The following is a 27638-nucleotide window of genomic DNA, read 5'->3' as shown; positions in this document are numbered from 1 at the left end:
GAAGGGCATGGTAGAATGGTCAGTTTTTATAAGATAGCTTGAGCAAGAACAGGAAAACAGCATAATATGAAAAGCAAATTGGTTAATATCAGGTTACTTCAGGTTACTGGGTTAAAGCAGAGGGGACTTACCATGTTGGCCAGAACTGGCCTATTTGAGAATTTGGCTATCATCTCTCTCCTGATTTCTGAACATTAGTATGAGGGACTCCATTTTGGTTTGGTCTATTCCGTTGGGTCCTAGTACAGGATCTCAGTCCAAATCAATGGCTTCCTATAAATTTTATTTAACAGGAATAAAGGATGCAAGACATAGGGAAATTTCAAGATGACAAACGTGAAGCTATATAAATAATCACATAAATTATTCATTAACAGTTTATGTTTATCTTGAATTTACTTTGTTATCACTCCATTTTTTACTTGAGCATAGATGTTAGCATATTGTTAAATTGTTATCTATTTCATTCATTTTTAATTTAGATTTTCACTGTTTTTTCTTAATATTTAGTAGTATTTAGGTTTCTTTCTCAAAAAAATTTGTCACTATATCCTTTTGTCTAAAATGTTGTCTAACTTTAGATAAAAGCATATAGTGACAAAATTTTCTTGAAACCACCTTTGCAAAAATTATAGCTGAGAAAATTATTACAGTGAAAAAGATTGGACCTAACCAACTCTTATCTTGCTTCTAACTTCCAAGCTGTCCTTGTTCATCCCTGGGCATAGGCCGAACTAACTTCGGGAGGAACTTAGTTTATAGTTTAGCTGTGAAACAAAGATGAAAACAGCCCTTTCCCAAACAAAACCCTTCCCTGCCTGGGGACTAGAGTGCCTTTGCAGGACTAACAAACGAACTAGCCACAATATTAGAAATTATGGTTTGGGAGTCATACAGTTGGAGGCTGCAAGATTCTAAACCTTCCCAAATTGCTCCTGGTGATAACATCACTATTGTAAAACCTAAGATCATAGTTTGAGATATTTTGCAGACCCTGCACTGATGGATCATCTGGCATCACTTAGATTGACAAACTGGCTCATCTGGTCTTGTGGCCACCACCCAGGAATTGATTCAGTACAAGAGGACAGCTTCAACTCCCTGTGATTTCATCTCTGACCTGACCAATCAGCACTTCCCACTTTCTGACACCCTACCTACCAAATTATCCTTAAAAACCCTGATCCCCAAGTTTTGGGGAAGACTGATTTGAGTAATAATAAAACTCTGGTCTTTATTATTAAGTAGTAATACAACTCAAATAAGACTGATTTGAATAACAATAAAAATAGCTGGCTCTGTATGAATTAAACTCTCTATTGCAATTTCCCTCTCTTGGTAAATCTTCTCTGTCTAGGCAGCAGGTAAAGAAAACCCATTGGGCAGTTATAATATTTATGTACATCTTTTGTTTCTATTCTGCTTGAAAAATAATTCCCATAGATTTGCTTTAAAAATTTAAGTCTTCTCCTTGTGCCACTTAACAGTATTAATTTTATTGAAGACTGTTGTGAAAAAAGTTAATGGACCCTCAAGAGCATGATATATCTAATGGTTAACAGCATAAATAACTGTGATATAGTAGGTTATACTCTTAGGTCTATATTATAATTGAGGTCAGCAATCTAACTTTAATATAGTTATATTAATATAATTCTGTAAGTATAGCTTTAAGGTTTAATTATTTAACTAAGACTATTACGAAGGAAATAAAAATAGTTAAGCATACGAACAATTCTCTCTCCAGTAATCAAAGATTTTAGGAATGAAAATTCAACTCTCTCCACCATCTTTGCTATTTAAAATTAGAGAATAGAGATTTAGTAGAATCATTTCAAGTGGTATTCACAAAAAGGTATTTGCCTTTACCTTAACACTCACTTTTGGAGATAAAGATTTTATTTTTCCTTTGCTTATGTACAATAAAAGTACAGTTGAGTTATATATTTATAACTCAAGCTTCAGGCAGTACCAAGTCCTGGAATTTTTTAAGAATTCAATCATGAGCATTCTATAAAAGTTGATTATACGAGATTATCCAAAAGGTTCCTGTAAATCTTACTTTATCACCTACATTTTAAAAACTCATATTGGGTAGAGACCAGCAAAGAAAGTTTTTCTGCAAGTAGGATTTTTCTCTTATTTTTTTAATAAACATTTTCTTTGGCTATTGATACTGTTTCTAATTGATTTTATAAATGAATAGAAAAGATAAGAGAATTCTGGAAAATATAAACTACTCACAAATTAAAATTTATTGCTCTTTGAGACATCTGCCTTTCCCTCTTAATTTGTGATGATAATTGCTGTTCTGAGAGGGACAGAAAAAACATATCCCAGTGGCTTATTTAGCAAAACACTAGAATGTTTATTTGAACCTGATCGCTTTTAAAACTTGGAAAAGGTAAAATAGGTCAGAAAGATGTAATCTTTTATGGGAATTCCTTCAAACATTTAATTCCCAATATTAAATGAAAATAATTGGAACACAAAGAGCTTGGAACACTATTCACTTGTTCAATTTTGTGTTCATAACTGTATCATTGGGTTGTTTTTGTTTTGGTGTGCAAAATATTCCTAAATGGCACCAAACATGAATTTGTAGGGATTCAGTTTTAGAAACACATAAAGCTAAACATTCTGCTCATTACCATGTGTCCTCCTTTATATCACTAAGTTCACTTTGCTGGATGTTACTACTTTTATGCAGTAATTTTATTAAGTATATCAAAGGAAATATTTCAAGTTAGAGATGAGTTCTACAGGCTTGTGTGTATGTCTTTTTTTTTTTTTTTTTTTTTGGATGGAGTCTTGCTCTGTCACCCAGGCTGGAGTACAGTGGCATAATCTCAGCTCACTACAACCTCCACCTCCCAGGTTCAAGCGATTCTCCTGCCTCAGCCTCCAGAGTAACTGGGACTACAGGTGTGCACCACCACATGTGGCTAATTTTTGTATTTTTTGTAGAGACAGGGGTTTTGCCATGTTGGTGAGGCTGGTCTCAAACTCCTGACCTGAAGTGACCCACTCGCCTTGGCCTCCCAAAGTGCTGGGATTTCAGGTGTGAGCCACCATGCCCAGCCCAAGCTTGTGATTTGTTCAAGATTCATCAACTGACAAGAAAATGTCAATCAAGTAACAGACTACTTTCTTTTAGTGTATAATAGAATGATACTTGGCTCTTGACATTTGTCTTTTTTTTGTACAATACTGTCATGACAGCCAACACACTTGTCTTTTGATTAGTAAAAGCTGGGGGCTTGATAGAAATCGTAGACTAAATTTAACTAGTACAGCAAATTGAGTTGCGATCCATATCTGTGAATCTTAGAAAATTTGTTCTTAATATTTTTGTACTACTGTGAGCAAATGACTGAAGTGGAGCAATTGTAGAGAAGGTTGATGCAAATACATACTTAGAAGCCTAGTACCTGAAATAAACTAGGAGCAAATTCTTCAGTGACTTCAGTCTCCGGTGATGTGGCACAAGTATGGCTTTTTCTCTGTTTCTGGCATTAGGCTTTTCAGAGAAACTAATGGGAGTAATGGTTCTCTAGGTGTGTAATAATTTTTTATGACTCTTGAAATTACTCCAAAACAAGGTCTCCCTATCAGTGATTTGTGGAATAGTAGTGCCCTGGAAATGCCAGTAAGTTGTTCTGAGAAAAGAGAAATTACTTGATCAAGCGAATTTGAGAAACTTTTTGTTACACAATCAGCTGTATACTGTTTCACTGTAGGATATCTCAGAGTCAAAACTAATGACATATATTGTGAATTGCTAAGAAGGAGGTATACAGTTCACAGCATTTCCCAAACCGACTTGATCCTGGAAACCACCTATAACATCTAGTAAGATGAGAATGCTCCATAGAAATTAATTGAGGAATGTTATCTAAAAACCTAACTATATATTAATGTATACTTTCTAGTTACTGTTGAATCTAATTTATATTCAAAGTTTAAAAAATGTTGGTAGAAATAACTTGATAAAATTGAATGGTCTTTTATGATATAAACTCATAGCATATGAGAATAAAAGGAACACCACTTAATAGTAACTACCAAAAACTCTAAAAAATAATATTTAAAAATGAAACCTAGAAACATTTCCTTTAAATTAAGGAAGAAGAGAAGAATGCTCACTGTTAAAAGGTTTCATACTGGAAAAGAAGAAACAAATTCTCAATATTTGCAGAGGTCCAGGAGAATGTACAGAGCAATCTTCAATATCAACAAAAGTTGCTAGATCAAGATCAATATAAAAAATTAAGTGTTCCTATACACCTAACCATACAGTTACGAAGGGTAATTTTAAAAAGAGACCATGTAGAAATTACATAAAAGAATGTAAAGTAATTGAGAAGAAATCTAATAAAGGTTGTAGAAGATCTTTTATGAAGAAAATTTTAAAGTATCATTGAAAGCTATATCTGTATGGATGGGTAAGAGTCAGTATGTTTAAAATGACAAGTCTCCCCAAATTAATCTATAAATTCAATAAAATTTTAGTTGCAAAATACCATAAGGGTTTTCATATAACTTGATAATGTAGGGAAGGTAAAATTTTTCTCTAACCCCCTGTGGTCTCCAGCTGGTACTGATATAAGACAGATCAACAGGAGAAAAACATACACATTTTATTTACATGTGCCTGTAAACAAAATGCTCTCACAAGAAAAATGGAGACCCAAAGAAATGACTAGCTCTAAATGCTTACATACTATGTGGAACAAAGAGTGGCAATTGTAGAAAAGTGACTAGGAAGAGAGGGGTTAGTTTAAGAAGGTCTGTTTGTACAGATTTCTTTCAGCCTTAACTCCCCTCCTCTTGTGATGAGACTATTTCTCTTCTCCTGGTATAGGGAAGGTATGGGAGTTTCAACTCCTGCTTTATGAAGAAAAGGGAAAATCAGAGTGCATCTCTTGCACCTGCTGTTTTTCAGGTGCCTTTAGCTCAAAATGATCAACATGTCAAATGGTGTATTTTGGGATGGCATCCTGAACTTGTTCAGTAGATAAGTTGATTTATGTGGAATAATAAGGGCCAAAAATAGCAAAGATAATTTTTAAAAAGAAGAAGAATGGAGTGAGAAGCAGCGGAATTGGAGTGTAATTGTTATACCAGATACCCAAACTTACTTGTGGTAAATAAAAGAATGTGGTATTGGTACAGGGAAAAGGAAACATACTGATATGGCAGAATAGAAGAGAGCACTGAAAATGGATCCACATATGTGGGAACTTGATGTTTCTTAAAGGTGGTATCATAAACTAATAGAAATAGGGACCACTGAATACATGATAAATTAGTTTATCCACAGGGAAAAAGATAAAACAGACACTATTTGAAACTTTACCCCAAAAGACTAAATATGAAAAGTAAAATGGTAAAGCTTTTAGAAACAAGTTACAACAAGTTATAGAAGAGTATCTGTATGATATAGTGGTAATGAAGGATATATTTGTTTTAAAAACTCACAAAAAACAGATGCCATCAGTAAAAAATTAATAGAACTTACCACATTAAGATACAAAAAAAACCAAATAAATGCACCCCCCCAAAAAAAAAGTTTGTATTACCATGAAGAAAGAATATGCTACATGTAAATATGTAAGCCACAGCCTGAGAGAAAAAAAATATCACATGTGAAGGATAGGTACCCAGGCTATTAAAAAACAAAAATTCTGCATATTGATAAGAAAAAGACAGAAGTCCTTATAGAAAAAATGAGGAAAGGATAAGAACTATCACATAAGAATTGATTGAAGTTGTCAGTAATTATATGAAAAGATGTTCAATGATATGAGTAATGTTAAAAAATGCAGGTTGACAAAAAGAGAGTCCAGGTCACATCCATTAGATTGGCAGCTACTGGCTGCCAATATTATTATTAAAGAGTCATATTAATAATACTATATATAATATTGTTATACTATATATAATATTGTTATCATATTATATATAATAATGTTGTTATATTACATATAATAATGCAAACTATCACAAGTTTACATTTAATTATATATAATATAATAATATTAATATTAATGTCATGTAACACTTATTGTTGGGGAAAGCATGGAGAAACAAACTTGTACCCATTTCTGCAGGAGTATAGATTTGCAAAGTCACTTTGAAAACCATTTGATAATACCTAGAAAAATTGACAATTTTCATTCATATACTCAAGGATTTTCCTACTAGTTTACAATGTAAGGAAACTCTCACAATTGTGTATAAGTAGGCCTGTACAGAGTTGGTCATTCAGGACTGTTTGTAAATGAGGGAAAAAGTGAACACAATTTAACCATCTCCTCAGTAGGGTAATGCCTAAAATAAACTGTGATATACAGTTATTTAGTAAAACATTATTCAATGGTTAAAATGAGGAAATTTATTTATTTATATCAACATGGTTAATCTGGAAATTAGAGTGAGTAATTAAAGTTTCAGAGGCACACTTACAGTATAATACCATTTCTATGAAATTTTAAATGCAGAAAACAGTATTGCATATTTGTGGATATACATGTATAGTGAAAGACTAAAAACATGCATGGGACTTATACCTATGCATTAAAAAAATATTTTATCCCTAGGTAGAAAGGAAGGAAAAAGATGGAGGCTTGAGGGTTTATGTATATATATGACTTTTTTTCCCTTTTTTTTCTTTTTGGAAACAAAAATAGGGAAATCTTAATATTGGTTTAAACATGGCGGTGGATAAATGTTTTTGTTATATATTTTTTACGTGATAAAACTTTCACTAGAATTTAAATTAAAAAAAATTCAAAGTATTCACAGATTTCCATTTTTACAATTTCAGAAATAGGCATAGGAAGAGGAGCCGTTTTCAGTTGATCACTGTAGCTAGTGCCTTGAAGATGAATGTGCCTTGAAACTTTCAAATTATGTAATTTGAGGTGAATGAAGTAATGGTATATAGCTTTTGCTGATTTGTTAATATTTAATTGGGCCAGGAACAGTTCAAGTCTTTAAATAGAAGTATATTTGTACAATATCCAGCTTAGCATCCAGCTTGGGAAACACTATTTCCCATCAGCTTTAAAGCATAAGTCTATAAATAATATATGAATTTGAACCTTATTCTAAAGATAGTGAGAGATTTAAAATAACAGTAAACAACCATAGTCTTCCTGGGTCATTCTTGGACACATTTTTGAGTAGGTCAAAGTTAATTCTTGGCTATTCTGGGCTTTTCTCAAGTTTGCTTCTATCTCTTAGAGATTGATGGCTGCATCAATAGGTGATACATTCACATACTTGAAAGTATAAGTGACTCAGGATGCATAATGAGTTTTATCTCTAAATGATACTTAGATTTTAAGAAAGTTCAATGACTTACACTAAAAGAATGAATTTCTAAAAGTGGAAGTTTAAGGCTTGTTCATTGGAGTGGTGGGTGGGGGTAGGTGTTTAGACAAGGGCCTTCACCAGACCTCCCAGTTCCATCCCCTAGTGAGTGGCTGCTCTACTTAAGAGATCAGTGTTTGTTCTTTTTACCTAGGAAAATAAAGTGAGAGAACAAGTATATTTAATGAAAATGGTAACGTTATTTTAAAAAATTATAAATTAGAGACCAATTAGAAATCACACAACCTCATCACTCTGAAAAATATTTTGTATTCAGATGTTCTTTCTAAGCATAGAATGAAGTCTAAGCTGAGATGTCACCGTGGAGAGTTAGTGAAGGCCCTGTGATAGGTTTTCAATAAGTTAAATGTAGGGTCCATTTCACTGTGATAGCCGTTATAAGTAAATTCCTAGATCATTTATTTTCATAGGTCAACATAAAGGCTAGTTCCATGTTGATATTACTCTTTGCAGAATAACCATTTCATTGTAAACCAATATTATTGTGTCATTTCAATTTACTTTTGCAGTTGCTTTGAGGCCAAACTTTATCAACTCATTTAAATATCTCTTTTAGCTCAAATAGGCACAATCTCCTTAGTAAAAATATGTTCACATCTATACAAATAGATATTTTAGCTTTTAGTTTAGGTTTTGAATTTATTTCTCAGTATTATTTTCTTTTTTAAGCTTATTACAGTTTCCATTGAGACAGTTGGGGTAAAGGGAGATTTAGTGGCATTATCTATGTGCATGTTAGTATTTTAAGAATGAATTGTGAAGGATAAGTTGGGAACTTCTAAACTGTGCATACATATAGGCTAATATATTTTCAACTTTAAGTATGTATGATAAGATAGATAATATAATGAAACATAATAGATGATGTATATAGTATATTTATAGATTTACTAATATATAATTATATTTTTATATTTAATAAAATATAATAAATTTATATTTTTTGTAAATTCATTGAAATCTAAAATTCAGTGAATTTTATTCAACCTAAAGGCTCTTTAACGTATGTCAGGTATTAGAATTTAAAACAAGATAGCACAACTTTGTAGCAATTCCACGAGATTCAGATTTCAAAGAGTTTGAGCTAGAAAGTATTTATTATGTAGAACACATTCCAGAATTAGTCCAAAGAAGACATGCATTAGAGAAACATTCGATCTCTTACTATTGAAGTTGTGTACTTGATAGATACTTGAGAGCTTATTAAAGCAGTTTCCCATTTTTCAGTATGAAGCTGGTATACCTAAATCAGCAATCTTTGATTCTATATTTTCTCTGAAAATAGGACAAACTCACCTTCCTATTCTGGTATTGCCTTGCCTAGCTGCTGAAGTTGTAGTGGCAGCAACAGCTGAGACAGCAGCAATATATCAATAGAAATAGTCTGTAGGATGGAACTGCAGCCACACACAAGATCTAAGACTTGTCTAAAATTTAATACAGACATTGCTTTGCTATATCAATCTAAATAATTATCCCTTAATTATCATCCCTTTATTTTCAATGTTTCTTGAATAAAAGGAAAGGAATAATCGATTGATAGCTGTGATTGTTGTGTGTTGTGAACAGTAGTTCCAGGTGTGTGCCAAAGAGCAAGGTAGTTTATTGTCTTTGTCAGAGGTTAGAAATACATGGTCTCAGATAGTCCTAGGAGCTCAGAAGGTCTCTGTATTAATAATTTTAGTTCCTTGGCTTTTGTTCTTCCAGTCATAATAAACAGTTTGCATATCTTAAATTTGCTCCAGAAACCTGATATGAATATCCTCTAAATTACACAATTGTCCTTTTTCACTGGGCTGGTTAGTGATGAGTTTCCAGCTCAGGTCCTATACTCTAGGAAATAAATATAACTTAACCTGCTATCATCTACATATATGTCATTGAGAGCTTTTGACAGGAATTTATTCACAAATATGTAAGTCTTGTCAAAATACCCTAGTTTTTAAATATCCTGAAATGTAAGAATCTCGGAAAATCTGTAGTTCTGAGATTCTGGTGAACCCAGAGCGATTGGAGCCTTAAATAGTTTTCTTCCAAATATCCTAATTTCTTTCTCTGTTTTGTTTCTCATAACAGAATCAAACCATGGAAATAAATGAAGTTAAAGATAAAAGTGCAGGTTTGCCAGTCCCACCACCCCCGTGCCTGGCATTAAATTAAAAATAAATGCCATTCTAAAACCTGGAGCTGCTTTTGCTCATAAAAGGGAGTTCTACCTAGTTAACTCCTGTTTATTTTCTGGGGCATTAATATTCAGTGTGAAGTCTCTCATATATATATATATATATATATATATATATATATATCGTTCACGGCTTTTAGCTTTTCACTCTACTCCACATATGAAAGCCTCCTTGAAAGCAGAGCAGATTGGAATATTGTTTATTCATATAGTTACCTTATGGCATTTGGCATTTCTGACTCTTTGGAACCAGGGACATAGGAATTTGGAAGATTGTAAGATAGTGATTCTCTAGTACAGCCTGCTTACATTCAGCCAATCAGCCCCCAAAATATTTAAATCATTCCACCCTGTACCTTTCACCTTCTAAGTACGTATACCCATATGTTAAAAACAATCTTCCCTTTTCTACTAATTTTTTCTGTTTGTCTTGTGTTGTAATTGAATTGCAAGATGTGGGACAAGTATTTTAAACACTTTTTTTTTCATTTCTGGTCCTGATATAATTCAGTGAATATTAATATATTTAAGTTAAAACAGATAATATTCTTAAGTCATAAAAAATGATAATCTTAATTTATCTGGAATTGAGAAAAACATTTATTTTGGATTACAAGTAAAATTTCTCTGCAGGAAAAGCTAGATTATAATGTGGATACTCAAGAGATGATTTTGAGAGAATGTAATTTATTTCACAGATGATGGAGTGATTTATTCTTAAAAACTAAATGGAAAAAGGATTTTCTGTCTTTATAGCCAAATCAGCTTACTGTATCAATATTTTTCTGTCCTTAAAATTTCACATAGTTTAGTTCCATTAAAAAAACAAACAAACAAACTTCTGTTTTGGGCCAGGCGCGGTGGTTCACACCTGTAATCCCAGCACTTTGGGAGGCCAAGGTGGGTAGATCACTTGAGGCCAGGAGTTCAAGACCAGCCTGGCCAACATGGTGAAACTTTATCTCTACTAAAAATACAAAAACTAGCCAGACATGGTGCATGCCTGTAGTCTCAGCTACTTAGGAGGCTGAGGTGGGAGAATTGCTTGAACCCGGGAGGCGGAGGTTGCAGTGAGCCGAGATTACGCCACTGCACTCCAGCTTGGGGCACAGAGCAAGACTGTCTCAAAAAACAACAAAAAGAACAACAACAACAAAACCTTTTATTTTGAAGGGAAGAAAACGTGTTCAGTTTGATAGCACATTTATGAGTAGAGTGTAGACTGTCAGGAATATTTAGCTTTTTAAAAAAGATTATTCCTACAGCTGAGGAAAAAAAAACTTTCTCCCACTCTTGATGTGAAAATTACTAGGTGATTTGCATGTGAGAATAATTTTACTGTAGCATCTGAGAAGTGGTCTGAATGAAGAGGTGAGCCCAGTTAGTTACCAGGCAACAGGTGGCTAAAGGACATGAACTCTGGCAAACATCACCAGTTCCTCGTTCATTTTATTGTCAGTTGGAGACTCTCCAGCCATGCAGCCCAGTTCTTGAGAATTGTTTATAGAATTGTTTGCTTCTGAAGGAATTTGTAACCACATTTTGTTTGATGAATACTAAACACCTTAGAAGCCTTCTGATTATACTGGCATTGACTTTGTCATGAACCACTTAAAAAGTGAGCCATGATGACTAGTAACACAAATGTGGGACCCTTTTGGATGACCACAATTTGCCTATAATATAGAAATATGGTGCTATTCAAAAAAAAGCTCAGACCTGTGAACACCAGGGAAGGGGGAGAGAATGGGATAGGAAATTACAGACTGGAGAAGGGACTTTTTTTTTATGGTTGGTATACTTATACTTTCCCACTTTTCAGTTGTGTGAATAATATGAGCAAAAATTCAGGGAAGTTTCATGGTGTTGTATCTTCATTCCTTTTGGAAAATTCAAAATCTTATGTATTGTATTCACCAGAGAATGGAAGGGAACTAACAACTGAGCCTCTAATATTCCAGAGAATTGGTATCAGATGCTTTATGCAGATTATCTCATTTTTATTATCACAGCACTTAGACAGGTAGATACTGTTACAGTCTCCTTCTACAGACAATGCCACTAGAGAGCTGAAGCATTCTGAGGTTAAAAATCTTACCTATTGCCTCACATTATGGTTTGATTTACAGCAATTTTCGTTCTATTGCCCCCTATCATTTGGAGTAATTGACTGTGTTCAATAATATTTAATAGTTCCTTTATGCATTTTAGTATATTTGTCTTGATAAAGTATATGCAGAAATTGGAGTTAAAAAGGATCTTGTAAATCAGATTATAGTTCTCACTCCTGTACTTGAGCCAGCCTAGGTACATTAAATATCTGTCTAGTTTAAATAATTCTAGAAAAGATTCCACAATTTTCCTTAGTAACCCAAATATGTCATTGCCTTGATTTAAGCCATTTTCTTCTGGTTTGTCCTAAATAGAGATGGAGAACAGCTGGTTACCATTCCCAATATAATAACCCATATATTTCTAGAACATTATAAAGCATTCCCTCAGGTTTTTCTTCACAGCCTGACTCCTTGTATCCTTTTGATCTTTCTTCTTTTTCCAACCCTTTCATCATCTGTGTGGGCTTCCTTCCTTTTTATTTCTCTGCATTCCCTTTCAGATGTGGAGATCATAACTGGGCATGGATAGCCAGCATGAGTCAAGCAGTGATGAGTAAAATAAGAAACTTACCTCAGAGTTTCTAAACTAATTTTCTATTTATGAACCCCAGTAATGTGCTTGCTTAAAACACAACGAGAATGGTGGCTCGCTATCATATTTCACTTGTAGGTCTGCTATGGTACAAGGTGTGTTTTTTCTGCTACATTTCAATTCTCGCACGTGGCCAGCCTTTACCTTGTATGCTGTGTCTTATATTCCAGAACATATTATTTTGCAAAATGACAGGAAAGACTTGCATAAGTATGAAGGATATTTTGATGTGAAAAAAAAAACTTTTTAAAAGATTTTAATGTATTCAAAGTGATTGTGTTGTTAAAAATGCTTTCTTTCTTTACACTGGGAAATAACTTATGCCTGAATGGTTGATAATGCAACTGTCTGAATCATTTCATTAATTACGTAGAGTTTTCTAATATACTAACCCCATTTTAAAAGCACTTCTAATCCACCAAAGTTATTTCTTTGTATCTATTTTATTTGCTGATGGGAATTTAATAAGCTTGCCATTTATTACATTACTTATTTTACTAAGGAAATGTTAAATAGCACTAAATAGTAGGCAAAGTTGTAGCCATACCATCCTTTAAAACTCACTCTAAAATGTACATATTTTGTTAAAATAGTGAGCCACATTTCCTTTTCACTTCAGAGCCTATATAGTTTATAAAATCTCATTGTTTCTTAGGAGTTACTAGCATAGTACCCCTTTCAGTTTTAACTTTTCTCATTTTGTTACTCCACGTTATGTCAGTAATTTAACTTTTTAGTTATAGACAAGGGGTCAAATTATCATTTTTATTTAGGGAATGTCCTATTTTCACATGACTTCAACAGAATAGTTTCTGTTAGTGCACCTACCATTTTCATTTTGTCTCTTACAGTGTTACACATTTATAGATTTATAATTTGAGTTTTTCACACATGCTTTTTTAGTTTAATTAAAAGTTCATGTTCATTCAGTAAGTGCTGTACAGTACTTGAGAGGATGTTCATCACTGGTTTAATAATACTAGTTCAGTCCTTGATAGATGTTAGCTTTTCTCCATAAGTCCTACAATTAGCCATTTTGTATAGAAAAGAATCTGTGGCTCAGTGCAGCTATTGGAAAAGCACTTCAAAATTTCTTAACTACTTTACCAGCCAATTAGCATCTCCTTTACTCATGAGGAGCAATTTTCTCTCTTTAGCCTTGATCTTAACATGAGACACACCGCCCGTGTCTCTGTCTCCTGCCCCCACCACATGCAGAAAGTTATATGGTGTTACAGGTTTTTGGAGCTCTTCCCCACAACTATGCCAGGGTTCCTTGCTTTGAGAAGGCTTCACTGAGACTGATAGAATGGTTTTCTTCTTTGCATTCTTGATGCATACATTACGTCCTTTTAAAATGTTGAGGAGGCTTATTAGCAAGAGAAATATATTTCTTCCCATTAAATTTCATTCACTATCAATTTTTAAGAAAATACAGTCTCCAGTCTAAGGAGATCTATGGAGAAAGCAAAAGCTACCTTTGAATAGTCTCTTAGAAGAGCACATTTGTTAAAACTTTTTATTTTGTAACAATTGTACATTTATGAGAAAGCTGAAAAGATAGTACAGAATGTTCTCATATACCTAGCGCTTAGTTCAGAACTAAAAACTTTTCAAGACCAGCTAGCTTACATTGTCTCCTTCTTGAAGGCCAGATACTGGCTACCTTTTAAAAGCAAATGCAAAGGCCTTTGGGTGGTTCCTTGTGTGTAGGTAGTTGTAGTGTGGAGTATATAGCTGCTGAATGCAGAAATCAGAGAACCTGAGGCATCTAAACAAGCTTTTGAAGTAGGGAGTGCTAGGCTCCATTTACCACTTTTCTTTTTTTTTTTTTTTTTGAGATGGAGTCTCACTTTGTCCCCCAGGCTGAAGTGCAGTGGGGTGATCTCAGCTCACCGCAAGCTCCGCCTCCTGGGTTCACTACATTCTCCTGCCTCAGCCTCCAGAGTAGCTAGGACTACAGGCGCCTGCCTCCACGCCCGGCTAATTTTTTTTTTTTTTTTGTATTTGTAGTAGAGATAGGGTTTCACCATGTTAGCCAGGATGGTCTCGATCCTGGCCTCCCAAAGTGCTGGGATTACAGGCGTGAGCCACCGTGCCTGGCCGGAATCTACCACTTTTTAAGGAGGAAGAGGTATTTCTGGAAACCACCCTGATATCTGATTAAATATAACTTGGTAACAGCAACTGAGCGCCAAAGAAATCTGCTCTTCATTTTTTTTTTTTAACCTGCCATAGTTTGTTTAACCCTGGTTCTAACTTTTGACAATTCTTACTTTATTCAGGCAGCTTGTTCTTGTGTAGTATAACTTCCAGAACTGTAAAAGCCTCGTTAATAATACCTTCTTGGTCATTTAATTTCAGTGCTTTATTTTTCACTGATAAATTTGATCTAGTTTTTAGTGAAAAGGTTCTTAACCTAGAGTAAATAAACTTTTGTGGATTCACGGTGGGCTTTATAGTGTGTATGAGAATTTGAATTTTCCTGAGGATCTGTAGGTTCTATGACTGTTTTCAAGAGTGAATGCAATCACTCTCTCCCTTCTCACTTCCTTCTCAAATAGTAACCTTTCTCCTCAGAAAATGTCAAGTAAATTAGGATGATGTTCCACAGTACTAATGGGATTTAAATGTGCATTTATTCTCTGTTGGTATACATTACAATATACGTGTTTCTAGTAAGAATAAAATGTGATTATGGACTTGCTTTAAATAAAATGAATTTGGGATAATAAAACTTAAATTGCTAGTGAGGAAAATTAATTTTCTCTTGTTCTTATATAAAACAATAAAGTCAATTTTTTTAGTAAAATATGCCAGAATATCCCAGTACAATCAAATAGCTTATAATAATGACATTTCAGTAGGCACAAGGAAAAAAAATTGCAGATTATCTTATTTTCATTCTAGAATTGTTAAGGACATAAAATCTGAGAAGCTTGTTAGATTATTGAGAGGGGAACTGATAGAAATGATAATCTTATATATTTATAGAAAATACTTAAATTTCACTTGGTATTCCTCTGACTTCCAGATAAACACTATGGGAAAGAAGGCCCTGTGATTCTTTTTAAGAATAATACTGTGCTTCTAAGGCTACTTTATATCAATTATGTTTTCTGATGAATCACAAAATGTGATTGTACAAAAACAAGCAAAAAGGTTTTCAGGTATTTGAGATTTAAGAAGCCATCATTTTGCCACATGAAGTACCTGGTTCTTAAAAAAAAAAAAAAAAAAAGGTCATAAGAAATAGAAAGCTGCAACCATGGCAGAAATTCAAAATATACTTTGAGAAAATACACCCTCCATTTTGTGCTTTCTATAAAATAGATCATCCATTCATCATGAAAGATTGTGCACTTCTTATCCAGTTGTAGTGTTATTCCTGTTGCATCCCAAATTTATTTCCTTCATTCAGAGGGTATTTGTAAAAAGAAATACATCTTTAAAAGTCCAAACATTTTAACTTAAAAAATTTTGATTTTAAAGAATCAACAGTGCATTGAAGAAGTTCTTATAGGTTTGGTGACCAGTTAAAACCTAATCCCTGGCCAGGCGTGGTGGCTCACGTCAGACTTTGGGAGGCCAAGGCTGGAGGATTGCTTGAGCCCAGGAGTTCAAGACCAGCCTGGGCAACATAGCAATACCGCATCTCTACAAATAAAAAAGTCAGTTGGGCATAGTGGCTCACGCGTGTGATCCCATCTACTCGGGAGGCTGAGGTGGAAAAATTGTTTGAGTTTGGGCCAGTCAAAGCTTCAGTGAATTGTGATTGTACCACTGTACTCCATCCAGCCTGGACATCAGAGCAAGACCCTGTCTTAAGACAAAAGCCACAAAAAACACAAAACAGACCTAACCTATTTTTAAAATTTTACTGTAGCATTTTCTCTACACCACTAATATACCACATTGTTATTATATCATCTATCTGTATCACTCACTGAACCCTCGACTACTTGAGGGTGAAAATTCAATCCTATTAAATCTGTATTCTCATATTTAGCACAAATCAATCTGTATTCTCAACAGCTAGAACTCAGTGAGTACTGTTTAAATGAACAAATTCACATTTATCAAAACATGCTCCCCTATTTTCTTTAGCTGTGCCGTCCAGTATAGCAGCTACTGGCTGTATGTAGCTAGTGAGCACTTAAAATGAAATGTGTCTAGTCTGAATTAAGATTTGATGTAAATATGAAATACACACTAGATTTCCAAGATTTTGAATGTAAAATCACTTATGTATATATATATATTTTAAGATAAGAGTCTCGTTCTGTCACCCAGGATGGTATTCAGTTGCACAATCACAGCTCACTGTAGCCTCTGCCTCCTGGGTTCTCATGACTCAGCTTCCTGAGTAGCTGGGATTACAGGTGCATACCACCATGCCTAGCTAATTTTGTATGTTTAGTAGAGATGAGATTTCGCCATGTTGGCCAAGCTGATCTTGAACTCCTGATCTCAAGTAATCCACCTGCCTCAGCCTTCCAAAGTGCTGGGATTACAGATGTGAGCCACTGTGCCCAACCAATATTTTCATATTAATTCCGTGTTGAAATAAGAATATTTTTTATTAAATACAATATACCATTAAAATTATATATTTTTTTGCTTTTTGAAATGTGGCTACCAGATGATTTAAAGTTATATATGTGGTTTGCATTTGTGGCTTGCATTAAATTTCCATTCAATAGTGCTATTCTTAAGCAAAAGTTGGCAAATGATGGTCCCTTTGGCCATATCTGTCTTGTTTTTATATGGCCAGTAAGCTAAGAATGACTTTTACATTTTTAAAGGATTGTAAATAAAAAATGCATGTGCACCAGAGACCGTATGTGACATGCGAAGCCTAGAATATTTGCTGTCTGGTCCTTAATATAAAAAAGTTTGCTTACCCTTGTTCTAAAGAAGTTATGAGGGTAGAACTCATGGACCTTAGCCTCTAGCATCTTACACTCTAGTGAAAGTAACCTCTTAGTAATGTTACATAATGGAAGTGAAATTTTATTAAGTGACAGTATTATGAATGTATTCAGGCATTGTATGATATAGAAGTACACTAGAGGGGATCTTGAAGGATGGAACAATTTGAGCAGAAAAGAGTGATAAAATAGTGATGCACTCCCCAGATCCCCCTTCAAAGAACTACTAATTGAGCTAGGCATGGTGGCTCACATCTATAGTGTCACCACTTTGGGAGACCGAGGAAGGCAGATCACATGAACCCAGGAGTTCCAGTCTAGCCTGGGCAACATGGTGAAACCCCATCTCTACAAAAATTTGCTGGGCATCATGGCGCATGCCTGTGGTCCCAGCTACTCTAGAGGCTGAGGTAAAAGGATCACCTGAGCCTAGGGAGGACAAGGCTACAGTGAGCCATATCAGGCCACTGAACTCCATCCTGGACAACAGAGTGAGATCCTGTTTCAAAAAAAAACAAAACAACAACAACAACATAAAACCTACGTACGGTCTCAGCTGCTTTGTAAAGAGGCCCCTTGTCCAAGGTCATAACTTTCCCAGGGTGGCCCATATTCAGTGACGAATGGCAGGGGAGGTATGAAGGTCCCATCATTTTAGCTAACCTGAGACAACTTTGGGATTCTGTATTTTAGCTCCAGAGCTCCTTAAGGTGTTGGCCAATTTTCCTTGGACCAGTGCTTTGGCCTAGCTTCTCTCCCTGTTCAATTCTGCACCCTTTTGCTTCTTTACTGAGGTTCTGATCCCAAGGGAATTCTCTAATCAACATTTTGCATACCACACCCCATCTCAGAGTCTGCTGTTACTGGGAGAATCCAACCTTCAATGGGCAAAAAGATGAATAGCATTCCAATTGTTGAGAGTTAAGTAAACAAAGAGACAGAGGGAAAAAATAAAAAATTCTTTTGGAGGTGAATGAGATTAATGACCTGAATAGCCCACAGTGTCTACGTTTGAAATGATAAGCTATAAGATTGCCCAAAAGGCTTTATCCTGGGGACAGCAGAAAGCTTTTGGAGCAGGGATGTGACATGAAGAAAACAGTGCTTTAGAAGAATTAATCTAGTAAAGACAAATGGGATTATAGGGAACAGAAACTGTTAAAGAAAAATATATCCATTTGTCTGCTAATTTTTTTTTATCAGTGCCTGATTTCATGCATCATCAGTAAGTGATAGTTGAATACGTTGTTTAACTAAAACCTTATTAGTTGAAATTTGAGAACTTGAAATTACTCTGATGATGGACTGTGATGGATATTTCCTGAAGGATGGATCAGGTTCCTTTCCCTTAGTCTATTCCTGAAGAGGGTAGGAAGGATACCCTTCAAGGGTGTCCTAGGCTCATCTAAAGGGTGGCCTGGCATTTTGCCCACTCCAGTTTTCCAAATACCAGCAGACACAGCTGAGCCTATTCTTGCCAGTTAGCTATGATTGCTTTCTTTTCCTTTTCTGCAGAGAAAACAGAGTTGCCCACAGCCAGCGTCAGGAGGGAAAGTGAACTGTGTGGTCACCCTAGAGAGGTAGCTGAAGCAGTTTACCTGGGACCTCCTGTGTTTGTTTGTTTCACAGTCTTACACTACTCTGGTTTTGAGGAAAGTGTTTTTTTATTTTTGTTGTTTTTTCTCAATTTGAAGGAGTTGGTTATTTGATAGTGCTATTTAAAGCTAAGGAGGAGGGCCCTTTGTTAACAAGGTTGGGAAGTGTGGCACAAGACTACCTTTTAGAATCATGCCCACAGAGCCAGCAGGAGTTGAAATAGCCTACTTTCTTACCACTGTTACTGCCTTGAGAACTGAACAAGAAATAAATATTTTGTCAGTATATGGTGATTTTTCTCAACCCGAAAGAATTTATCCCTCCTTGGTCTTTATTATGAATTGGTAGAATATACTTTACTTAAATTTTATTGACAAAAGTAAAGATGGACAATATACAATTATGAGCTTATTAAAAATAACCCATAACCCTTCTTGGGGGCAGGGAAATGGTTGCCTCTTTAAAGTTAGCAGGTTTTCTTTGGTTCCTTTTTGAAAAGTTGCCTCAATCTTGACTGGCTTTAATCAGTAACTCTGAAATAAATTCAATTTAGTTGCCCGTTGGATATTACATACTTGCGTTTCCACAGAAACAATTTAGTAAAATTTGATATTCAAAAAGTACCAGATGGAGATATTATAGACAAGCAGGAATGTAGGATGCTTAAGTACATAGTCATTTGAAATGAAATAAACAAGTAGTAGAACTATCTTCTTAACATGACTCATAATTCCTAAGGAACATTTGTATTATCAAAGTACCTAGTAGTTTTCTAAAAGAATGACTGTCTTTTGCTCATAAATTTATTTTTAAAAGTTAGTGCCTTGGTTTATCAAAATACAAGTTAAGACATGTTTATATCATAATGAATGCAGATACATAGGATTGAGTTTATTTCAGTTTGCATTAGAACAATTTAATCTCAACATTCAAAATGTATGTACTATGTATATACTATATTGGAGTTCCCACAATGTGTTTTGTTTTGTTATTTTGATGTGGGGCTGTTTTTTATTCCCCATAAATCTGATCTGATTATTTTTCTTGATGATGGGCAGAAAATGTTTATAGATTATGTAAATCACTGATTAGGCATAGAGGGTGACTGGAAAGTGGGGCAGAGTGGAAGAGAGTAGAAACGTGGTAGTGTCCTCTGTCTTCTAGAGCTTCTAGTTGATGTTCTGTGAGAGCCGACCTCTTAGTAAACCTTAGATTATATGCTTCAGTATCCACAACATAATGTTAAAGGAATCAATAGCACTTAAATATGTCACTTTTTTCTGAGAATACATTGTCTGGAAAGGTAAAGCCTTGGTAGTTCAGGTATGTGGGTGGTATCATAGATATTAAACAAAAGAAAAAACTATCAGATAAACAAAACCAAAGTAGCCATTTTTCATATGGTTTTTACTTTAATTCCATGGCCTATGAGAGATATACCATCCCCAGATATTTTCCAGCAAACCTCTTCTGTACTCTGTTCAGGTTGGCTCCTCAGTCAATCCCTTTTAGCTGCCTTTGCCAGTAGATAAGCCCAGGGATCACATTATATGTGTTCTCAGTTGATGGAATACCACTGAGAAACATCATTTCTTCTAGGCAATTTGGCAATATCTATCCAATGGAAATATAGATATAACCATTGCTCCAGAAGGCATACTTCTAGAATTTATTATCCGGACATAATCCCAAAAATGTAGAAAAAGTGAACATGAAATTCCCCTCTTCTCCACCCCTGGCGTCCTTAATTTCACTCTCCAAAGTGAAATTGCTATCTGCATGTCTTTTCAGACATGTTTTATGACAGGTGATATAGCTATATACCCATTTTTTAATTTATGTAAATTGGATCACACTCTGTAAACTGTTCTGCAATTAGCTTCTTTCATCCAACATGTCATATACCTATCACAAAATATGTTTGGAAAGACAGATGGTAACACCTTTGGAGAATGGGATTAAAGGAGCCAGGGGTGGAGAAGAAGGGATTTTCTTGGTTACTTTTTCTTTTCTCTACTGTTTGAGTTGTTTTAGCAGTAAATATATTTGTAAAATATTTTAAATTAAAATACAAACTACTAGAAAATAAAAGTGTGTAAGATAATAATAATGAGGATAGCTAACATTTTATTGAGTTCTTACAATGGACCAGACACTGCTGTATACATATGGCATGTGCTTTTCCTCATTAAATTATCACAGAAACTGTACAAGGTACATCTATTGAGATCCCCATTTTACGGATGATGAATTTGAGGCACAGAGAGATCTTTGGTTACATGTCCAAGTCAATGTATGAGAAAAGAGTCAAATAAGAGCATTGATATGGAATATAGATGGTATCCATGATGGTTTGACTTAATGATTTTTCAGCTTTATTATGGTGCAAAAGTGATACACATTGAATAGAAACTGTAATTTGATTAACCATACAACCATTTTATTTTTCATTTTTAGTGTAGTATTCAATAAATTACATGAGATATTCAGTACTTTATTATAAAATAGGCTTCGTGCTAGATGATGTAGGCTAATGAAAGTGTTCTGAGCATGTTTTAAGGTAGGCTAGGTTAAGCTGTGATGTTCAGTTAAGTTAGATGTATTAAATGCATTCTCGACTTAGCAATATTTTTAACTTCTGATGGGTTTATTGGGATGTAACTCTATAATAAGTTGAGGAACATCTGTACTGCCATTTATAAATGATTTCTCCTGTGTGATCCAGAAGAGTAAACATTGTGACTCGCTAGTTTTGTGAGCAGAAAGGAAGAAGGTGGGTTCTTTTAAACACCATGACTTCTGCATTTGTTCTTCGGAGTTTAATTCAAGGAGAAAATGGGCTATTTCATTAATTCCAAGGACTCTATTTGAGGGAGTCATTTTCAGAGGAAAAAAATCATCTATGCTTTGGAATTTTTTTTAGGTATCTTAAAACAGGTATTATATGAGTCATTTCTCATAAGAACTGGCTTAGTATAGTAAGAAAGACTCCTTCTCATATTTTCCAAGATTATTGGTGGGTTGAGAGATGTCAGCAAATGATTTCCTCTGTTGCAATAGTTATCCAAGTACAGAAAGAAGAAAATATATAGTAGGCCAGGCGTTTGAAAGTATTTTAGAATAGCATTTCCTTTATTCAACAAATATTTATTGTGTACCTCAGAAAGTTATAATTAATATATTTTTACATTCAAATTCAAACTCCTGGCTCTTGAAAATCTCCATAATCTCTTCCCTTTTTGTCTGTTAAGCTCTTCCTCCACTTTTCCAACAAACTGCATCTATTTAGGCTGGTTTCTTGATCATTCTTCTGTAACTATCTATGTCCTTAAGCACAGGGATTATCTGTTGGTTCTTAGTGCCTCTGGTGCCTATAGCATGGGAGGCTTAGAATGGCTAGTGAATGAATGAGTGAATAAACACATTCTTTTTTGTCTCCATGCTCTTGCATATACATGTTTCCATATGTAGATTTTGCCTTCCCTTCTTTCTTCAAAACCTTGAGACCAGAGTTAGTGTGCCTATAGTGAGACCCTCTTCCAGTACGACTGACCTCCTGGCTCAGATGCAACAGGTCTCTACTGTTTCCTGTACCAAATCAAGACTCCTTGGACATTGAGGGACATTGTGCTTCTTTGTATATCCAAGTGTTAGTTCTTATTATGCTGCTTTTCATACTACCTCAAAACGTTCATATGCATTACCTTCTCTGTACTCCTAATGGGACCATCTTTCCATTAGATGCAGGGGATATGAACATGACCTCTGGAGAGATGACCTGAGTTAGAATTCTGACTCTTCTACTTCCTAGCTTTGTGAAGGTTTCTTAAAATTTCTACAGTTCAGTTCCCTCCTCTGGGAAAGAATGAAAGAGAAGCCTGCCTTTTGGAATTATGTGAGGATTGAGTAATCTATTAAAGTGCTTAGAACAGTACCTGGCATATTGTAAGCATTCAAATGTTAGCCATTATTACTGTGCGGCTTCTGTGTATATTTTATCTCATCCGTGATGAAGATGAGAAGGCAAGGGCTGCTCCTGGCCCCTACAAATACACTTACCTAATAGCTATTATCAATAGATATTAGAAGGTGGGTAATAACAACCCTTGAGAAGACCAGGGAGATGACTGAAGATTGATTTTGGGTGATTTTTTATGTAGAGACTTTAATTCATCTCTCTTGCTTCTTAATGGATCCACCAACTTAATAAAAAATAATTATTGATTGTTATATGTGTTAGACACCATTCTAGGTCCTGGTGATATACCAGGGATCAAAACAGAAGAAAATGCCTACCTCCATGGAGCTTACATTTCAGTCCTAAGTAAACTAGAAGTATGTGAGATGGTAATAGGGCTGTGGAGAAGAATGATGCAAGGGAAGGGGGCTAAGGAGTATATGTGTATGTGTGTGTGTGTGTGTGTGTGTGTGTGTGTGTGTGTCTGTGTGTCTGTGTGTCTGTCTGTCAAGTGGTGTGCGTTGCAATTTTAAATATGATGGCTTAGCAAAGACCTCCCTTAGTATGGTGCATTTGAGACAAGTTTTGAATGAGGTAAAGGAATAGCCATGTGGATATCTGTGGCAAGAGCTTCCTAAGAGTTGTCAGGAGGTGCAAAGGTCCTGAGTTAGTAGCATACGTAATATGCTCAAAGAGAAGCAAGGAGACCAGTGTGTTTGGAGCAGTGAGTCAGAGGAGAGTAATAGAAGATAAGGTAAGGGGCAGGGGCACAGCTCATACATAGCATTGCAGATCATAGCAAGAGCTGTATCATTTACACTGTGAGCGATGGGGACCATTTGGAAGGTTTTGTGTGCAGGGATAATGTTATCTGTCTTAGGAGGCAATGGGGTCAATCTGGTTACTTGGTTGAAATTTGGTTGAAAGTAAACTGCAAGAAAGGAAGGGAGATAAATTAGGAGGCTATTGAAGTGATCCAGGTAAGACAGTGCTGGCTTGGACCCAGGTGGTTGTAGGGGAGGTGGTGAGAAGTAGTTGTATTCTGGTTATATTTTGAAAGCAGACCCCATAGGAGCTGCTGACAAATTGAAAATGGGGTGTGAGGGAATGAATTGCCTCAAAGATAAGGTTTATGGCCTGAGCAATTTAGCAGGCTGGAATTGTCATTTACTGAGATGGGGAAAACTGCAGGAACAATAGGTTTGGTGGGAAGGAACAAGAGCTAAGTTTGGTCATGTTAAATTTGATATGCCTTTTAGACATTCAAATGGAGATAGAGAGTTGACCCTTGGATATGGTCCAGAATTCAGGGGAGGAGTAGAGAGGTCAAATTTGGAGATAAAAATTCAGGCTTGTCAATATACAGTATTTGAATCACTGAGACTGAATAGGAAATTATTTCAAAATTTCTTCTGTCATTCCTTTTCCCCCCTTAGTTTATTTTTCTTTATTTTACTTACTCTTCTTACCTATCTTCCCATCCCACAAATTCCAAGGCAGAAGTTAGTATTGACAGTTATCATCCAGCTTGGGAGATGTGGAGGAACATTGTACTTTTCTTTTCTCACTTCGTGATGTAATCAGAGTAAGTGCTTATTGTAGTGAGGTGACAGCATCTTCTTGGTGACTATTAGGTTGTGATCAAATCATGTTCTAAATAGAAAGTGCGAAACTTATTTTCATGTTCCTTTTATTAGCAGTATTTATTTTTCCATCAACCATATGCTAATAATTCATGAATCAATCTATAAACACTTAAAGAACACTGTGTACCTGTACTGAGAATGAAATAAGAGAAATATTACTAAAAGTTTCTGGCCTCAAAAAATTTGCTAATTAGTAGAAAGCCTGGTCTCACGTAGTAAACCAATTAGAGCACAATGTATGATAGCACTGAATTGTGCCTTGGGTTGTATGGTGTGGCTTATAAGGAAAAGCTTATTAAAACTGATCTTTTGACATTTTTGACAATGTTCTTATAAATTACTTTCTTTTTTATCATATATGGATGGGATGAAGCACAGAGTAAGATAGAGTGCACAGCAAAGGGGATCTGCCCCTCCTATCTGTCCAATACCCCACAGGTTTTGGTGATAATCTTGGGCAATGTTCCAGTCAAACCTGCCTCCCACTTCTCACTAAAGTTAGTGAACATGTGACCCACATTCCCCAAATAAGAGCCTCTTATAAACTCCATTCTTGGCTTTTTCATTCATAGAGATAGCTATTTTATGAGACATAGATAAAGCATTTTTTAGTGATGTGCACGATGCCTTTTTTCTTAATTATTAACTTCTCAAAACATAAACACATTGGAGGCACTTAATAAAGGGCAGCTTCATTGCAAGAGCTGAAAGCATTAATGAGTTTGTGTTAATGCTTCATTAATAAATCATCAGTGGCTAAGAAACTAGATCTTCCTTTTCCTGAAGTCTTTAATGTATCTTGATGCTCCATTAATCTGGGGGTCAGGGAAACTCCTAAAGTTTGAGGTCAGATGATATCATATGGTATTTCCATTCTCTGAGCAAATTGGCTGTTTCTTACACCCCTGTATTAATCCGCCTACCCCTAGATAAACTGGTTAGCTGATATGGATAATGAATGCGTCTTTAATTTTCATGTGAGGTTTTTAAGACTAACAAACATGAGAAGATTGTATATAGAGGAGGAGTGTTTTGGTTTTTGCTTGGTAATGCTACTCTAGCATGAATAAGTGAGTAGATATATTAAAATTCATTTTTATTTAGCTTTGGAATGCTTATAGAATGGTTTGTGGCAGATATGTCTTCCTATTTGGGTTCATTTTGATAGACATGAAAATTAGAAAATATTATTTAGATAGTGTAAAAAAGTAAAAAAAAATTACCTTTCAGTAATCTCCAAACAATTTTAATCTAGACAAATGAAAGCATTTTTATTGATAGTAAAATATTGTTTTATTTTTATACTTGTGTTTGGTGATAGCCATATCTGTCCTCAGATTTCACAGCAGATCTTTTAAGTTATTAGGTCCTGAGCGAAAATTTCCAATAAATCCCTACTAACCTTTCAAAAAACAAACATTTCCATCCCAGGTGGAATGCAGGGAATATGAGAAACAATTAGACACAAAGAGAAGGGAAACAGGGCATTAGTTCTTTCTCCTCTGACACTTGCTGCCTTTACTTGATGTTTCCTTTTTCTCTGTGAGGATCAGAGTTTGAGGAGTATTTGGGTCTTGGCAAGTGAGTAGCTAATCTTTAGCAAGGTCTTAACTGAAGCTACCAATAAAACGCAATATTTTAAATGCTTTACACTAATAAAGTCTAAAAAAAAAATCTGTTAGCATTTTGGAATTTAGCAGAACTAGCTAAGGCCCTCTTTGGCTTTCTTGACTTCCAGGCTGGTCTCCTAGGAATTTTTTATGGGAGCTTTGGGGCTCATAAACTGTACAAATGTTGGTTCTGACAACGTAATGAAACCACACAGGCCAGGACTGCTGCTTGAGGAGATTATTTTAGGACTGGCTTTCTTATGACCCCTTACTCAGAATACTTCTTGCCTTCCATTCTATGGACAGTATCCCTCAGAAAGGTTGGCTTAGTACCAGTTTCTAGTACCTGCTGTAGACTTGTTTTATTTATTTTTTACATCTCCTGTAGGTCAGAGGGAACATAATGACTTCCTGTGGGTTTTTGCCTGAATACGGAAGTAAAAGTAAGAACTTTCATGAACTCTGTGTCTTTATGAAAACCATTATAAGCAGTTCTGCAAATTATATTAATAGAACTTGAAAAGATTTGTTTTAAGTGATAGTCTATGAAGATAATAGTTCTAAGAATAATGTAAAATGTATATACTTGTATCCAGGGAATATATCAAGATAGATAGATAGGTAGATAGATACACACACACACAGATATATACACTGAATATGTATGTATGTATATATGAATATGTATGTATGAATATATGTATGTATATATGAATATGTATGAATATATGTATGTATGTATGAGTATGTATGTATGAATATATGTATGTATATATGAATATGTATGAATGAATATATGAATGTGTGACTATATGTATGTATGAATATATGAATATGTGTGAATATATGTATGTATGACTATATGAATAGTGTGAATATATGTATGTATGATATATGAATATGTATGCATGAATATATGTATGTATGAATATATGAATATGTATGTATGAATATATGTATAGATATATTCCCTATTCCCAAATATTTTGTGCATGTATGTTTTGTATGAATATTTAGGGCAACAGGAATTACAGTAGTACCATGTAAATGTAAATAATCACAATTTAATATTACTCAAAATTTTCACAAACTTAGAAAATTATGGCCATATTTTAATGTAGTGAACGATATCAAATTGATGTTACTTATTTTAAATATATTTTATCAGGAGGTCTGAGGATAACTGTTTGCATTCTCCTTAGGTAGGGATGAATTGGTGTTTTGATTTGGGAATGGAAGAAATATGGTCAGTTGAGAACTCTTCTGCAGACACAAGGCACCTGGAATTTATGAAAGAACCTTGAGTGCTAGAGATAATCTTCTCTTAGAGAACAAGAGGTTGAAGATTGAGGCACTTAGCAAGAACTCTTAAATTATTCAGTGGTTTCCTCAGCAGCATTTTAATTCTTGCTCGTAACTGTTTCATGGTTGACTTTCTTCTTCTCATGTATTGCTATTTTTCTTTGTCCTTTTCTCAGGAATAGGAAGAAAATTTCATTAAAGCACAACACAGAATTATATTCATTGGCCACACTTCACAGAAGATTCATTGCATAATTTGGCCAGTTTCCCTCACCACCCATTTAAATAGTGTGGCAAATGTATTTGGTG

At 34.9% G+C, this 27638-nt stretch overlaps 1 protein-coding gene across 53 annotated transcripts in view, besides 1 other annotated feature; it reads left to right on the top strand.

The window, feature by feature from the left end:
- Positions 1 to 27638, top strand: part of CAMK2D (calcium/calmodulin dependent protein kinase II delta) — a 310707-nt gene that overhangs the window by 42288 nt on the left and 240781 nt on the right. The gene's annotated exons all lie outside the window — the stretch shown is intronic.
- Positions 26328 to 26397: an enhancer, noted in NCBI's record as "active region_21838". NCBI's record gives its function as "activates an Ori minimal core promoter by ATAC-STARR-seq in GM12878 lymphoblastoid cells {active_cell/tissue: GM12878}" and the evidence as "EXISTENCE:reporter gene assay evidence [ECO:0000049][PMID:35858748]".

This window comes from Homo sapiens, chromosome 4 (assembly GCF_000001405.40).
Source record: "Homo sapiens chromosome 4, GRCh38.p14 Primary Assembly".
NCBI lineage: Eukaryota > Metazoa > Chordata > Mammalia > Primates > Hominidae > Homo > Homo sapiens.
The sequence above is the reverse complement of the archived record's forward strand: the minus strand, read 5'-3'. Positions and strand labels throughout refer to the sequence as shown.